This window comes from Homo sapiens, chromosome 4 (genome assembly GCF_000001405.40).
Source record: "Homo sapiens chromosome 4, GRCh38.p14 Primary Assembly".
Lineage (NCBI taxonomy): Eukaryota > Metazoa > Chordata > Mammalia > Primates > Hominidae > Homo > Homo sapiens.
Window position 1 is genome coordinate 172,106,050 of NC_000004.12, and position 12,730 is coordinate 172,118,779.

At 33.5% G+C, this 12,730-nt stretch overlaps 1 protein-coding gene across 3 annotated transcripts in view; it reads left to right on the forward strand.

Annotated features, from left to right (window-relative positions):
* GALNTL6 (polypeptide N-acetylgalactosaminyltransferase like 6) overlaps window positions 1–12,730 on the forward strand; it is a 1,228,156-nt gene that overhangs the window by 292,646 nt on the left and 922,780 nt on the right. The gene's annotated exons all lie outside the window — the stretch shown is intronic.

The following is a 12,730-nucleotide window of genomic DNA, read 5'->3' on the forward strand; positions in this document are numbered from 1 at the left end:
TGGTCTATTTGGGTGTTAAACACAGATGTGACTAAGAAACCTCTACATGTTCCAGATAAAAGAAAATGACACAGCAAAAGGGTTCAGAGAGTGGCTTAGATAAGCAATAGTAGGTAATGAGTTCTTGTTTTCTGAGGCACGACTCAAGCTCACTTTTTAATTTTCTATTCAACAATAAAAATACAGTTTGGTAATATTTTGCATACAAAATTTTAAGGGTCAAAATTGTAAAATCCACCTCAGGTTTCCAGGGGAGAAGCTCTAGAATAGAGGGTTTAGTGATTTTGCATAGAGGTTGCCTGTAAAATCCTGTTAAGTAGAGAATCAACTAAAATATCTTTGTGATAGGTATTATGTATTTCTGAAACTCTTTAATCTATGTAATAAACATGTCCATCAGATTGGAATTGATATCCTAGGTAATAGATACTTTTTCTGTAAGAATTCTATTTTGTTTTGGAGATTTTGTGCTATATTGGTACTAACATGTCAAAGGAAATATAGAACCCTCTTGAGAACTAATGAAATCAATTGAATATGACAGGAAATTATCTATTTCCTGGATGACTGCTGACCCTCCAAGAAAATCTAGTCTTTAAATCAATATTAAATACTAAAATAAATAAGATTCTGTGAAGTATTGGAGCAGTACAGTTAAATATATTGTTGATCTCTCCAACTAAAATCAAAGAGACATCTCTAAAAAAGGCAGACCACAGGCCAATAGTGAACAAAAAAAGGGACCAACTATAGTGAATAATGTATCATAGGGTGGATATAAGAATATTATTTTGTTAAATATCACTAGTCATTTTGTGTTTTTGTTTGTTTGTTTGTTTTTGAGATGGAGTTTCACTCTTGTTGCCCAGGCTGGAGTGCCATGGCACGATCTTGGCTCACCGCAACCTTTGCCTCCCGGGTTCAAGCGATTCTCCTGCCTCAGCCTCCCTAGTAGCTGGGATTACAGGCATGTGCCACCACGCCCGGATAATTTTGTATTTTTAGTAGAGACTGGGTTTCTCCATGTTGGTCAGGCTGGTCTTGAACTCCTGACCTCAGGTGATCTGCCCGCCTCGGCCTCCCAAAGTGCTGGGATTACAGGCATGAGCCACTGTGGCCAGCCGATATCACTAGTCATTTTGAACAACTATATGGATTATGGCTTCTCAGGTCTTATACAAATGACTATCCTTTGTGTTTTGACTTCTTTACTAGAAGGTGGAGATATCACAAAACCTGTATGTAGTAGAAATATTTTCAAACAAAATCAGATAACTTATTATTCCTCCAGTTCCTGTGAAAGACATTGGTCCTCACAAACACTGCAAAAATTAGTAGTAATGTTTAAAAAGGACTACCTGAATTGTGACATCTATTCTGCTTGTATCTATAAAACTAATTGGCTATTGGTTCTAATAAGGAGTCACCATGGAATACTATGCAGCCATAAAAAATGATGAGTTCATGTCCTTTGTAGGGACATGGATGAAGCTGGAAGCCATCATTCTCAGCAAATTATTGCAAGGACAAAAAACCAAACACCGCATGTTCTCACTCATAGGTGGGAATTGAACAATGAGAACACATGGACACAGGAAGGGGAACATCACACACCAGGGCCTGTTGTGGGGTGGGGGGAGGGGGGAGGGATAGCATTAGGAGATATACCTAATGTTAAATGACGAGTTAATGGGTGCAGCACACCAACATGGCACATATATACATATGTAACTAACCTGCATGTTGTGCACATGTACTCTAAAACTTAAAGTATAATTGAAAAAAAATAGTAAGCTGGTGTAAACAGATGTCTGTTTGGTTCATTAATCATTTCTAAGTAAATTACATTGACTTTTCAATACCATTTGCCTACTAAATCTTTCTCAGAATAGTAACATGGATACTGTCACATGGAAGAAAAGTAGGTTTTTAGTCAAGGATCTAGTAGTTACATAAGTATTCAAAGTCCAGCAACTTCAAGTAGCTACAAAATATTCCTACTTATTCATGCTCTTTATTACTCTGGGGAAACAGTTAATGTAAACTGTCAGGGTATGTGTTTGAAATAGTAGCACCTATATTTAAATTTACAAACTTTACTTTAGATAGTTCATTTTGTGTGTCTAGGAAAATAAAACATATGAGTGTCATTGCAACCATCACTGAGGTTCTAAGTGAGCCCCTCATCAGTTAGCATTTTTCACAAGTTGTGCAGAATAAGAAAGAGAAGAAAAGTCTTGCACTAGGTAGGGTTCTCTCTATAATAATAACCAATAGGTATAAAGAGATTTACTATAAAGAGTTGGCTCACATGATTATGGAGGCTGAGAACTACCAGAATCCAAGGTCAGAAAGACCCAGGAGAGCCAGTGGTTTAGTTCCAGTCTGAAGACAGGAGACTGATGTCTGTAAGCCTAAACAGTCAGGAAGTCAAAATTCCTTCTTACTCAGCCTTTTTGTTCTACTGAGTTTTTCAATTTATTGGGTGAGTAAAGCAGAATGCTCTGCTTTACTCTGTCCACATATTAAAATGCCAGTCTCATCCGGAAACACCCTCACAGATATACCACACAATTTTTGATCAAATAACTGGGTACCTTGTGGTTCGATCAAGTTGACACATAAAATTAACCATTACAAGTATCAGGGGGAAAAGGAAAGCGGAGGTGCAATAGAAATTTGAATTTGGGGCTGGGTGCTATGGCTCATCCCAGCACTTTGGGAGGCTGAGGCAGGCGGAACACCTGAGGTCAGGAGTTTGAGACCAGCTTGACCAACATTGTGAAACCCCATCTCTACTAAAAATACAAAAAATTAGCCGGGCATGGTAGCGTGCGCCCATATTCCCAGCTGATCGGGAGGCTGAGTCAGCAGAATTGCTTGAACCGAGGAGGCAGAGGTTGCAGTGAGCCAAGATGGCACCACTGCACTCCAGCCTGGGTGACAGAGTGAGACTCCATCTCCAAAAAAAAAAAAAAAAAAAAAAAAAAAAAGATATTTGAATTTGGGAATTTTGGGTTTTTCTCATATTATGTCATTTAATTTTTTCAGGAAATAAATTTAAAATTCTATATGAAATTCTCATTGACTTTTTGAGAATTCACTGAATCAATCAATGAAAGTATCAGAGATTTTGTCTCTTTTAGTTCTAAGGCTCTCATCAATGAAGAATTTTGTTAAAGCCAAAAATACGAACATGGACCATTATAATTTTTTTTCTTGCATAAAAGAATTGTACTCAGTCAAATGTAGCAAGTATTGTAATTGAAATGAGTGTATATGAAATGACAACATTCACAGCAGAGACTTGGAATGGTCCTAGAATTGGTTGTCCTCAGAGTTGTCTAAGAGTTGACAGAGAGAAGAAAATATGATGAAGCCTTTTCAACAGATGAAACAAGATAATAGCATGGCACAGTATGTGACACAGGGCCATTTGTTAGCCATTCATCTGAAACATGACTAAAATAATATAAACAGTAGTCTGAATGACCCAGTTGTAAAGTTGTGAATAACTCTGTCAACAAAAATTTTTGCATTCCCACAGACAAACCACTAAATAAAGACAAATGTCAACCTCTCAGCAATTGCCTTTCAGTTATGAAGAATAAATGGCTCTGGATAGAAACAATTTAAATGGCTGTAAAACTGATATTAACCACATGGCTGAGAAACAGAAAGCAAAGCTCCCATTTGTTGCTTGGCTGGAACATCCCAAGGCAGATGAGATTTGCAGGCCCAGCACAAAAGGCCTCTTAGGGACATGATGGATCTTAGTCCATTGGCTTCACTGGTTAAAATGTAGCATACAAATCTTGGTGGGATCTCAAGAAAAACAGTTAAAAGGGAAATAAAATGCTTATAAGTATGTAATTTTATTAAAACAAGTTGTTACTTTTATAAAAGACTTCTGAAATAAAGAACTTGTCAAATAAAGAGAATGATGAAACTTAACAGCTAAAATTTGATCATTGATTGGTGAGCTGTTCCTGTCTCTGGGAAGGTAAAACAGAATATTCTCTTTCTTTTATGAGTTATCTTGGACTCTAGAACTTTTAGAGGTTCCCCTTTATCTTTTCTTTTTTGGTTATTTTGGAAGGCAAGGCTTATAAAAATATAAAACCTTTTTTGAGCGATGTTATGAGATGGGCTCAATGTTGGATACAGCTAAGGCAAGAATAAAAATGTTAGATTATCTTTTCTCTTTTTTGAATAATTTAATGAAGATGTGAATTGTTCTCAACAGCTGATCATATGAGATAAGGAAATAAAACGTGGTTAAAAATTATCGGAGGCCATCAGTATAGCTATCATTACATCTGATGTTGCATCAAAAATCTTTTAAAGAAGATAGGATGAACTGTGGAAAAACCTGTTTGGAGAAAGTGATAATAGTACTTTCACAATATTTAGTTAGTCAGTAGCATATTTTAAAAATTAAAGAAAAAAGTGCACATATTTCAGGATGTGCTATATTAGCCAACAAGCATTTTCTGCCAACAATCTTCCTAGAGAGTTGTCAGAGAAATCTAACCTTACAAAAGCTGCCAGTTATTTATAAAACAGTGGCTTAAACCTAAAGGATACCTTGGTTGTACAGAACAGACTCCAGATTACTATTAATAAATGCTTTCTATGCCGAATTCCATATGATCAAAGGAATCAGACACATGTTTTGCTGATTGCTGCATACCTACAGAAAGGATATCTTAATGTTAAATGTTGCAGATTTGGATGATACATTTGAATCTCTGGATATACTGACACCCATAACTCCTAAAAGAAAACATCAGGACTGCTGTTCATTATGAAGCAACTCTTATGTTCTGGGCAGAACCCACGGAAGAGAAAAGAAAATGGAGCTAACAGTTCATTTGTTTTCTTGCCTTGACATTTTTCAAGGAAACATTAAAAAAAAATTTTAGGAGTAGTAATCTCACTTAATTTTGGCAGGATATATTCCTATACTAAGCTTTCCTCTTGGTGGTTGGAAGTCCCATTTGGATCTTCAAAGAGCCCTCTTCTCACAGGCAATCAGCATCATTAGATAATCACTCAAGGAATTTTGTTTCAGCAGCAAAAGAAAATTTCCAAGTAAAATTACTTAGGAGAACTCTGGAATAAAATAAATTGAGGTTTTCTCATATTTTAATTTTTCTAAAAACATATTTGTAAGAACTTTCACTTTTTGGCAATAATACAGAACAGACCACCCAGCCCGGTCTTACAAATTTATACTATCAAAGATGGAGAGGAATGATGCAAATAGCATCTATGTTCATGTCAATACTACATGATTAAGTAAAGTGAACATCTTTTGAAATCAGAATATTGTTTTCTTTTAGATTTCTGATAAATTATTTTTAGTTTTATTTTATTTTGAAGTTTTACTAAACATTAAAAAATCAGTACAGAAAAGATGAGCTTAAGTTAATTGAATGAAATAATTTTACTGACATTTTTCTGTCTGATATGAGAAACTTAGCACTTTACCCCTTCTTTTGTACAAATTTTTACTATAATATAAAATTTGAGATTTTAGATTTACATTCCTATTCACTATGAATTTTTATTTTAATGATTATTTTTTGAAATTGCATTTTTACAACTACAGTGAGATACTTGGGGGTAATTTTCTATTTTAGGTTTTCTGCTAACTGTTCATTTGTAGTACTACTACTTATATACATTTTATTTTTTGTAACACTTTATTTTTTGGAGCAGTTTTAGGCTCACAGAAATATTGAGTAGAAGGCACAGAGATTGCATACATACCTGCTGCCCCTACAGCTGCACAGACTCAACTCTTACATTATCATCATTCTTCACCATAGTGGTACATTTGTCATGTTTGATAAACCTATAATTAACACATTATGATCAATCAAAGTCCTTAGTTCACATTAGGTTTCACTCTGGGTGTTTTATGTACTATAGGCTTGCACGATGACATGCACACACTATTAAAGGATGAGACTAATTTCACTGTCCTAAAAATCTTTGCCATCCATTCATCCTCCCTGTGCAACCCCTGGAAACCAATAATCTTTTAACTGTCGCCTGAGTTATGTTTTTTCCAAAATGTCATATCCATCCAGTATTTAGCCTTTTCAGATTAGCTTCTTTCACTTAGCAATATGCATTTATGGCCTTTCCATATCTTTTCATGGCTTGATAGCTCACCTCTTTTTAGCTTAATAATATTCCATTGTCTGAATGTACTAGAGTTTATTTATCCAGTCACCTACTGAAAGACACATTGGTTGCTTTCAATTTTGGCAATTACGAATAAAGCTGCTATAAATGTCCATGTGTAGGTTTTTTTGTGGACATAAGTTTTCAACTCCTTTGCGTAAATACCAAGGAGTTCAGTTGCTAAATCCTATGGTAAGGGTATGTTTAGTTTTGTAAGAAATTGCCAACCTGTTTTCCAAAGAGGCTGTATCATTTTTGATTCCCATCAGCAATGAATGAGAATTCCTGTTGCTCCACATTCTTGTCAGCATTTGGTATTGTCAGTGTTCTGGAATTTGGCCATTCTAATAGGTGTGTAGTTGTATGTTCATGTTGTTTTAATTTGTATTTCCCTAATGACATAATGCTCTACATGCTATACATTAAATATTTGTGTTCCCCCAAAATCCATTTGTTGAAATTCTAACACCCATGACGATGGTATTAGGAAGTAGGATCTTTAAGACATGATTAAATTCTGAGGCTGGAGCCTTTATTAATGGGATAAGCACTCTTATAAAAGAGGCCCCACAAAGAGATTCCTTACCCTTTTAACCATAAGATGTTATAGCCAAAAGATACTGTGCATGAATTGGGAAGTGGACCCTCGCCAGACACCAAATTTTCTGATGTCTTTGATCTTGGACTACCCAGCCTACAGAAAAATGAGAAAATCTGTTGTTTATAAGCCACCCAGTCTGTGCTTTCCTATTATAGAAAACAAAACAGAATAGGACAGTGCATTTTTGAGTTCTTTATTTTGATACACATTTCACCGAGAATATATAGGTAGGTAAATTTCTTGTTAAGGGTCTTAGCATTTTTTAGAATGTCTTTTGTTTTATTTGAGTAATAGTGGATCTGTTATGCACTGCATTCAACATTTTTTATGAATTAGCAAGAAAGGTTTTATTTCACTAGCCTCACATTCTGATCCCATTTTTCTCACTTAATGAATTTATGCTATAGCATTATATAGGTAAGATATTATTTAATCTATCAGTGATTAGCATTTTTCTTATTTAGATGGTATTACATAATAGCACAGGGTATAAACACCTGAAAATTACACAGAAAATAACAAGAGGAGCAATTTGAGCAGTAAAAACATATGTACTATGAAGTAACTGTAGTATTAGAGAAAAATAGTTCTTAAAATCAGACATCTTTATTTCTACTTCTTTTTCTATAGACAGTACAATGACTATATAAAATGTTACAATGCACATATAGATCTGAGTTAAGCAATGTCTATTATTTTTATTTTTAAACATTTTGTCATTTTCCCCAACACTGTGAATGCTGCTTTGAATTAAACATTTCAGTAGAAATCAAAGACATGTTTATACAGCTTGAGCTGCAACAGTTTGCCTTATAAAATACCTTGCAAATAAATAATGATATACATATTTTTGCCTAAACTCTTCAGGAAACGCATTGAGATTTAAAGCTCCTTTCAGACAATGACCAAAGCAGACAAGACCCTCTGGAGTCCTCTATTTTCTGAAGTGTTCCAGCACGATGCTTTTTGATGATCAGCTGTTTCCCTGTGTGTTGAGCTTAACTTGTTGGGTTGTATTTTCCTTGTTAAATGTCGAACTTTTTATTCGTTTACTTGTTTTACAAACAAAATTACAACTACTCAATCTCTTCAATTTTGACAATGTCTTACCAACAAAATTATAACTACTCAATCTCTTACTTATTGAAACAAGACAAACAAAAGAAAACAGCATAATTGAAGATTTAGCTGAAGAGAAAGTAATTAGAAACATGCCAAATAATTTCATACCTAAATCAAAGAAATGCCAACGTGAGCATGCACATTGTTTGTACAGTTAAAGCTTCTCTTCATAATTTGAATGCAGAAAATACTTATGAGGGTTTAAAAGGGATGAAAGAGCCACATTCCTTTGACTAATAAGCTTGTTTATAAATGAAAGTCAAATTTAAAACAGGCATTTTTGTTAGAAAAGATGCTGTTTTATGCAAGGTTACAAAACCGTAAGTAGTTATGGTCAGGGCTCTTCTGGAGAAAGAAAAATTGGGAGTCAATTTGGAAATATAATCATCCTTCCTAATAAGAAAATGCTGTCATCAGAAGGGTATAAGTCATTCGTTCCTCATCATCAAAATCTACTTGCCTTAATTTATCTGAACCATGCCAGCAGGTATATATCTATAGAAATAAAGGGATTGAACAAGTTGTCAACTTACAGCTTTGACAATACTGCTAATCAGAAACTCAGCAAGCTCTACTGTATCATGCTTCAATCATTGGAACAATAAAGAACCCAGAGCTTTAGGGTATCACAAGAAAAATGTCAGAACAAGTTATACGTCGGCACTGTGAGGCCCAGAGATTGACAATTTAATTAGGATTAATGGTAATTGTTTTTAAAAGAAAAAATGAATGCTCAGATAATTTCCTTGGAAGTTCAAACACAAATAAACAGGACAACTTTACTGTTTAGATATATGATTCTTTTTATTATACAACGAGTATAAAACTGAGGTGTTACATGAGACCTGCCTGCTAGAGATAGAGATAAACTTTGCTCGAACCTCCAAATTTTATTACATACGACAGTCGAGGGACTGTCTCAAAACCTTCAAAAAGTCATGCTTCTTTTGTTTAAGTGGCTCAATCCCACTCCCAAACATCCCCTCCCTGCTAAAAAAAGAAAAGCACACAAGCCATTCCCATCAACCTGTTTGTGAACTTAATAACTTTACTAATGGCTTACAGGTATACATGCTTTGCATAATGAGATTTCATTGTGAACTATTCTTAAGAGCTCTATATCCTTCCTTTCTACTATCATTTATTCTTCTTCCTTTTGAGGATCAACACAAAGTTACCACTTTATGTTACATAGAAACATTTAAAATCTTTGATGTCTCACATTGAATACCAAAGGCCTTGTCCAGTATTTTCCCCCATCAATTATAGTTCTCTTTCTAAGTGTAATACTGATGACAGCTGTTAATAAGATATAAAATAGGGTATTTAAACATTCTGAAGGAACCTTTTAGAATTGCTTCAGGAAGGTATAGAGCAAAAAGTTATTGAAATAATTTTGAGAAATTGTTTTAAGTTGGAAGTACATATAAAATAGCTTAGTGAAGATGATGTAAAATTGATAGATTGTAAAGAGCAAAGAAAGCACACATCTTAATCTTCTTCCATTTTTCTCAAACTCAAACTTTTTTAGTGCAATATGGTTTAAGAATTCCAAAATATTGGTTTCACAAGGAGATAATAAGAAACTAATGATGTATGTAAATAGAAATATGTTTCCAGGTCTTGATTATTTCCATTTCATAACTCCAAAATAGACTTTCAATTGTTAGAACAGAGCCACTATTATTAATCTTTGAGTAATTACGGGAATGACATGGAATTTATGTGGCATTTCAAAATGGCAGAAAAGACAAATGGATCGTGGAACAGTAAGCCTGAAGTAAATATCTTAGAACATTTTATAATATAAATAAAATAAGTTTGAATACTAAGAAAATAAGAAATTACAGTGAGGAATAATAATGTCTTATAAGGAATATTAATACCTAATTAATATTTTCTTTCTGTGAAATGTTTTCTTGAACATTGCTTTAAAGCAATGCCAAATACAGTATTTCAGATAAGCCTCTAAATATTTAGCTCTTACAGACAAAATTGAATAAAATATACAAATTATATGACAGTATTAATTAAAAAAATGAGTTGAATCTACCTAGATACAATAGGTTTTAAACCTATTTTTAAAAATGAGTTGATGTCTACCTAGAGAGAATATAAATGCTAAACATGTAGGTATTATATGTGATTTTTCCATGGATATTTTATGATTTATTCTACGATTATCTTATAATTTGATAATCATATAAAAGTATATTCCGTGAATTTTTAGGTAAAAAAATGCTGTAAACAAACAGCTAATGTGTTAGAAATCTCATCAATATTTATCAGGTTTTCAAAGGATCAAATTATCATCCAAAATTAAAAGAAAATAACTTAGTTAATATCAAAGAACATATTGCTCTGTAATAAATTTTTGAAAAATCCTACAATGTAAGGAAACTTGGCAAAACAGCAGTCCATGTGTGAAAATCTGAGATTTTTAGATGACTGTTATCCCAAGATGACTTTTATTATCTATTATCCCAAGATGATTTTTAGATGACTGTTATCCAGGCTGGTCTCAAACTCCTCGTCTCAGTGATCCACCCACCTCACCTTCCCGAAGTGCTGGGATTACAGGCATAGGCTACTGCCCCAGGCTAAGATTTTTAACTACATTGATATTCTCTGTATTATTCCTCTGAGAGCTTGAGAATGGTAAGGATCAGAAATGAAGTAAAAAACAAGGTCTCCAATCACATATGAAAATACAAAAATTATTCTGAAAATAACTCCCAGTTACAATGCTATTTCAAAGCACACTTTTTAAAACAGCAAAGTGCATTACAGTTTTTAATTCTAAATAAAGTTAAAAGTGAAAATATTTAGAAAATTTAATGTGATTTTCTTACTTTGATTTTGGGTTTATACCAATGAAGCAAATATAAGCTTTTTGTCTTATTTTGCTGAAATAATTTAAAAATAAAGAAATACAACACAATTTTAAAGCAGTACCTTTATTGCTTTTTAAAAAATTTTCCAGTGGATTAATCTGTTTATATTATTCTAAATTAAATTAGCATAGATGCATGTGTGTGTATAATGTATTATATAGTTTATTTGTTCTAGCAAAATTATTTCTATTAGTGCACTGCCACTAAACCATTATTACAGACAGAATAATAAAAATTGAGTAAATTTTTAACTTTAAAGCAAAATTCATGAGAGCAAAAACAACGTAATAAACTATCACACCAACGTAATTCTAACTCTCACATCCACACAGATATCTTACCTGCAATAGCTATTTTTCAGTCGTGTTTTATCTTCCAGCTGAAAATGACAGTGAATTAAACTGACCGTATTATATGCTATGGTAATCACATATTGTCTAAAATGTTATTCTAATTGAGTCATTTTAGAATGTTTTCATTATATTTTCCTATTACAAATAATAAAAACAATGAAACACTGAGTCCTTATTATGTGACAGGCACGCTTATAAAGGCTTTATGTGTATTAACTCATTTAATACTTAAAACTAACTCTTCCCCTATTAGATAGGAGTCTATGATGATGAGAAGTCTCAGGACATCTACGTTTGTTTTATAATATAGTTTGTTTCAGAATGCCATGAATTTATTTTACTTTATTATTGTTCCTTATTTTGTCAGCTTTACAGAATAATTCCTGAATATAATCAATGCAAATTTTTGGTTTCAAAAATTTTATTCTGAAATAACTCAAATGTCCATCAACAGGAGGACGTAAAAACAAATTGTGGCCTATTCGTGCACTAGAATGGAACTGAGCAATGAAAAGCCAGAAATTAAATGCATCAACATGAATGAATCTCAACAACATTGTTGAGACCAAAAGAAATTAGAATAAAAAGAGACGAAATTGTAGGCTTCCATTATTAAAAAAGTTTCCAAATAGGAAAACTAAACTAAAATGAAAAAAACAAAATCAGAACAACTGCCAATTCTGGAGATTTAAGGGGGAATGGTGAAAATTGACTAGAATGAAAATACAGAAACATTCTGGTGAGAAAAAAATTCTTCTATGACACCCTAGGGTTATGGGTTATCTGGGTGTATCTGTTTTTCAAAACTGTAAAGCTAACCTTTGTGCATTAGAATATGTGATATTTTACCTTCAGGAAAAACAACTGTAAATAGAGTAGTTATAGTAGTGATTGAGATGTGGAGAGTAGACAGCGGTATAGGTGGTAGATGAATGAAAAATGTTGATAAAAGTTGAGTGATGAATACATGGGGCTTTATTTTACTATAGCTTTATTTTATATACTTGGAATTTTTAATTTGAAATATAAAATTTTTAAAAAGCCATTTCAAGTGTTTTCCCTAAAGGCTGTAGGTTACTGTCATCAATACTTGGTTAAGAGGTACATAAAGTTTCATAGTATTAACAAATAAAGCATTAGATAATTATAGGAAATTCAAAAAGAAAATTTAAACTAAGATAAAACTAGCTCTAAGAAAGGAGGGGCCCGGTGCAGTGGCTCACACCTGTAATTCCAGCATTTGGGGAGGCCAAGGCGGGTGGATTACTTGAGGTCAGGAGTTCAAGACAAGCCTTACCAACATGGTGAAACCCCGTCTCTACTAAAAATACAAAAATTAGTTGGGCATGGTGGCATATGCCTGTAGTCCCAGCTACTCAGGAGGCTGAGGCATGAGAATTGCTTGAACTCTGGAGGTGGAAGTTGCAGTGAGCCGAGATTGTGCCACTGCACCCCAGCATGGGAGATAGAGCAAGACTCTGTCTCAAAACAAAAAAGAAAAAAAAAAACCAAAAAACAAACAAACAAAAAACAAAAAGGAATAAAAGAAAAAAAAGAAAGGTGGG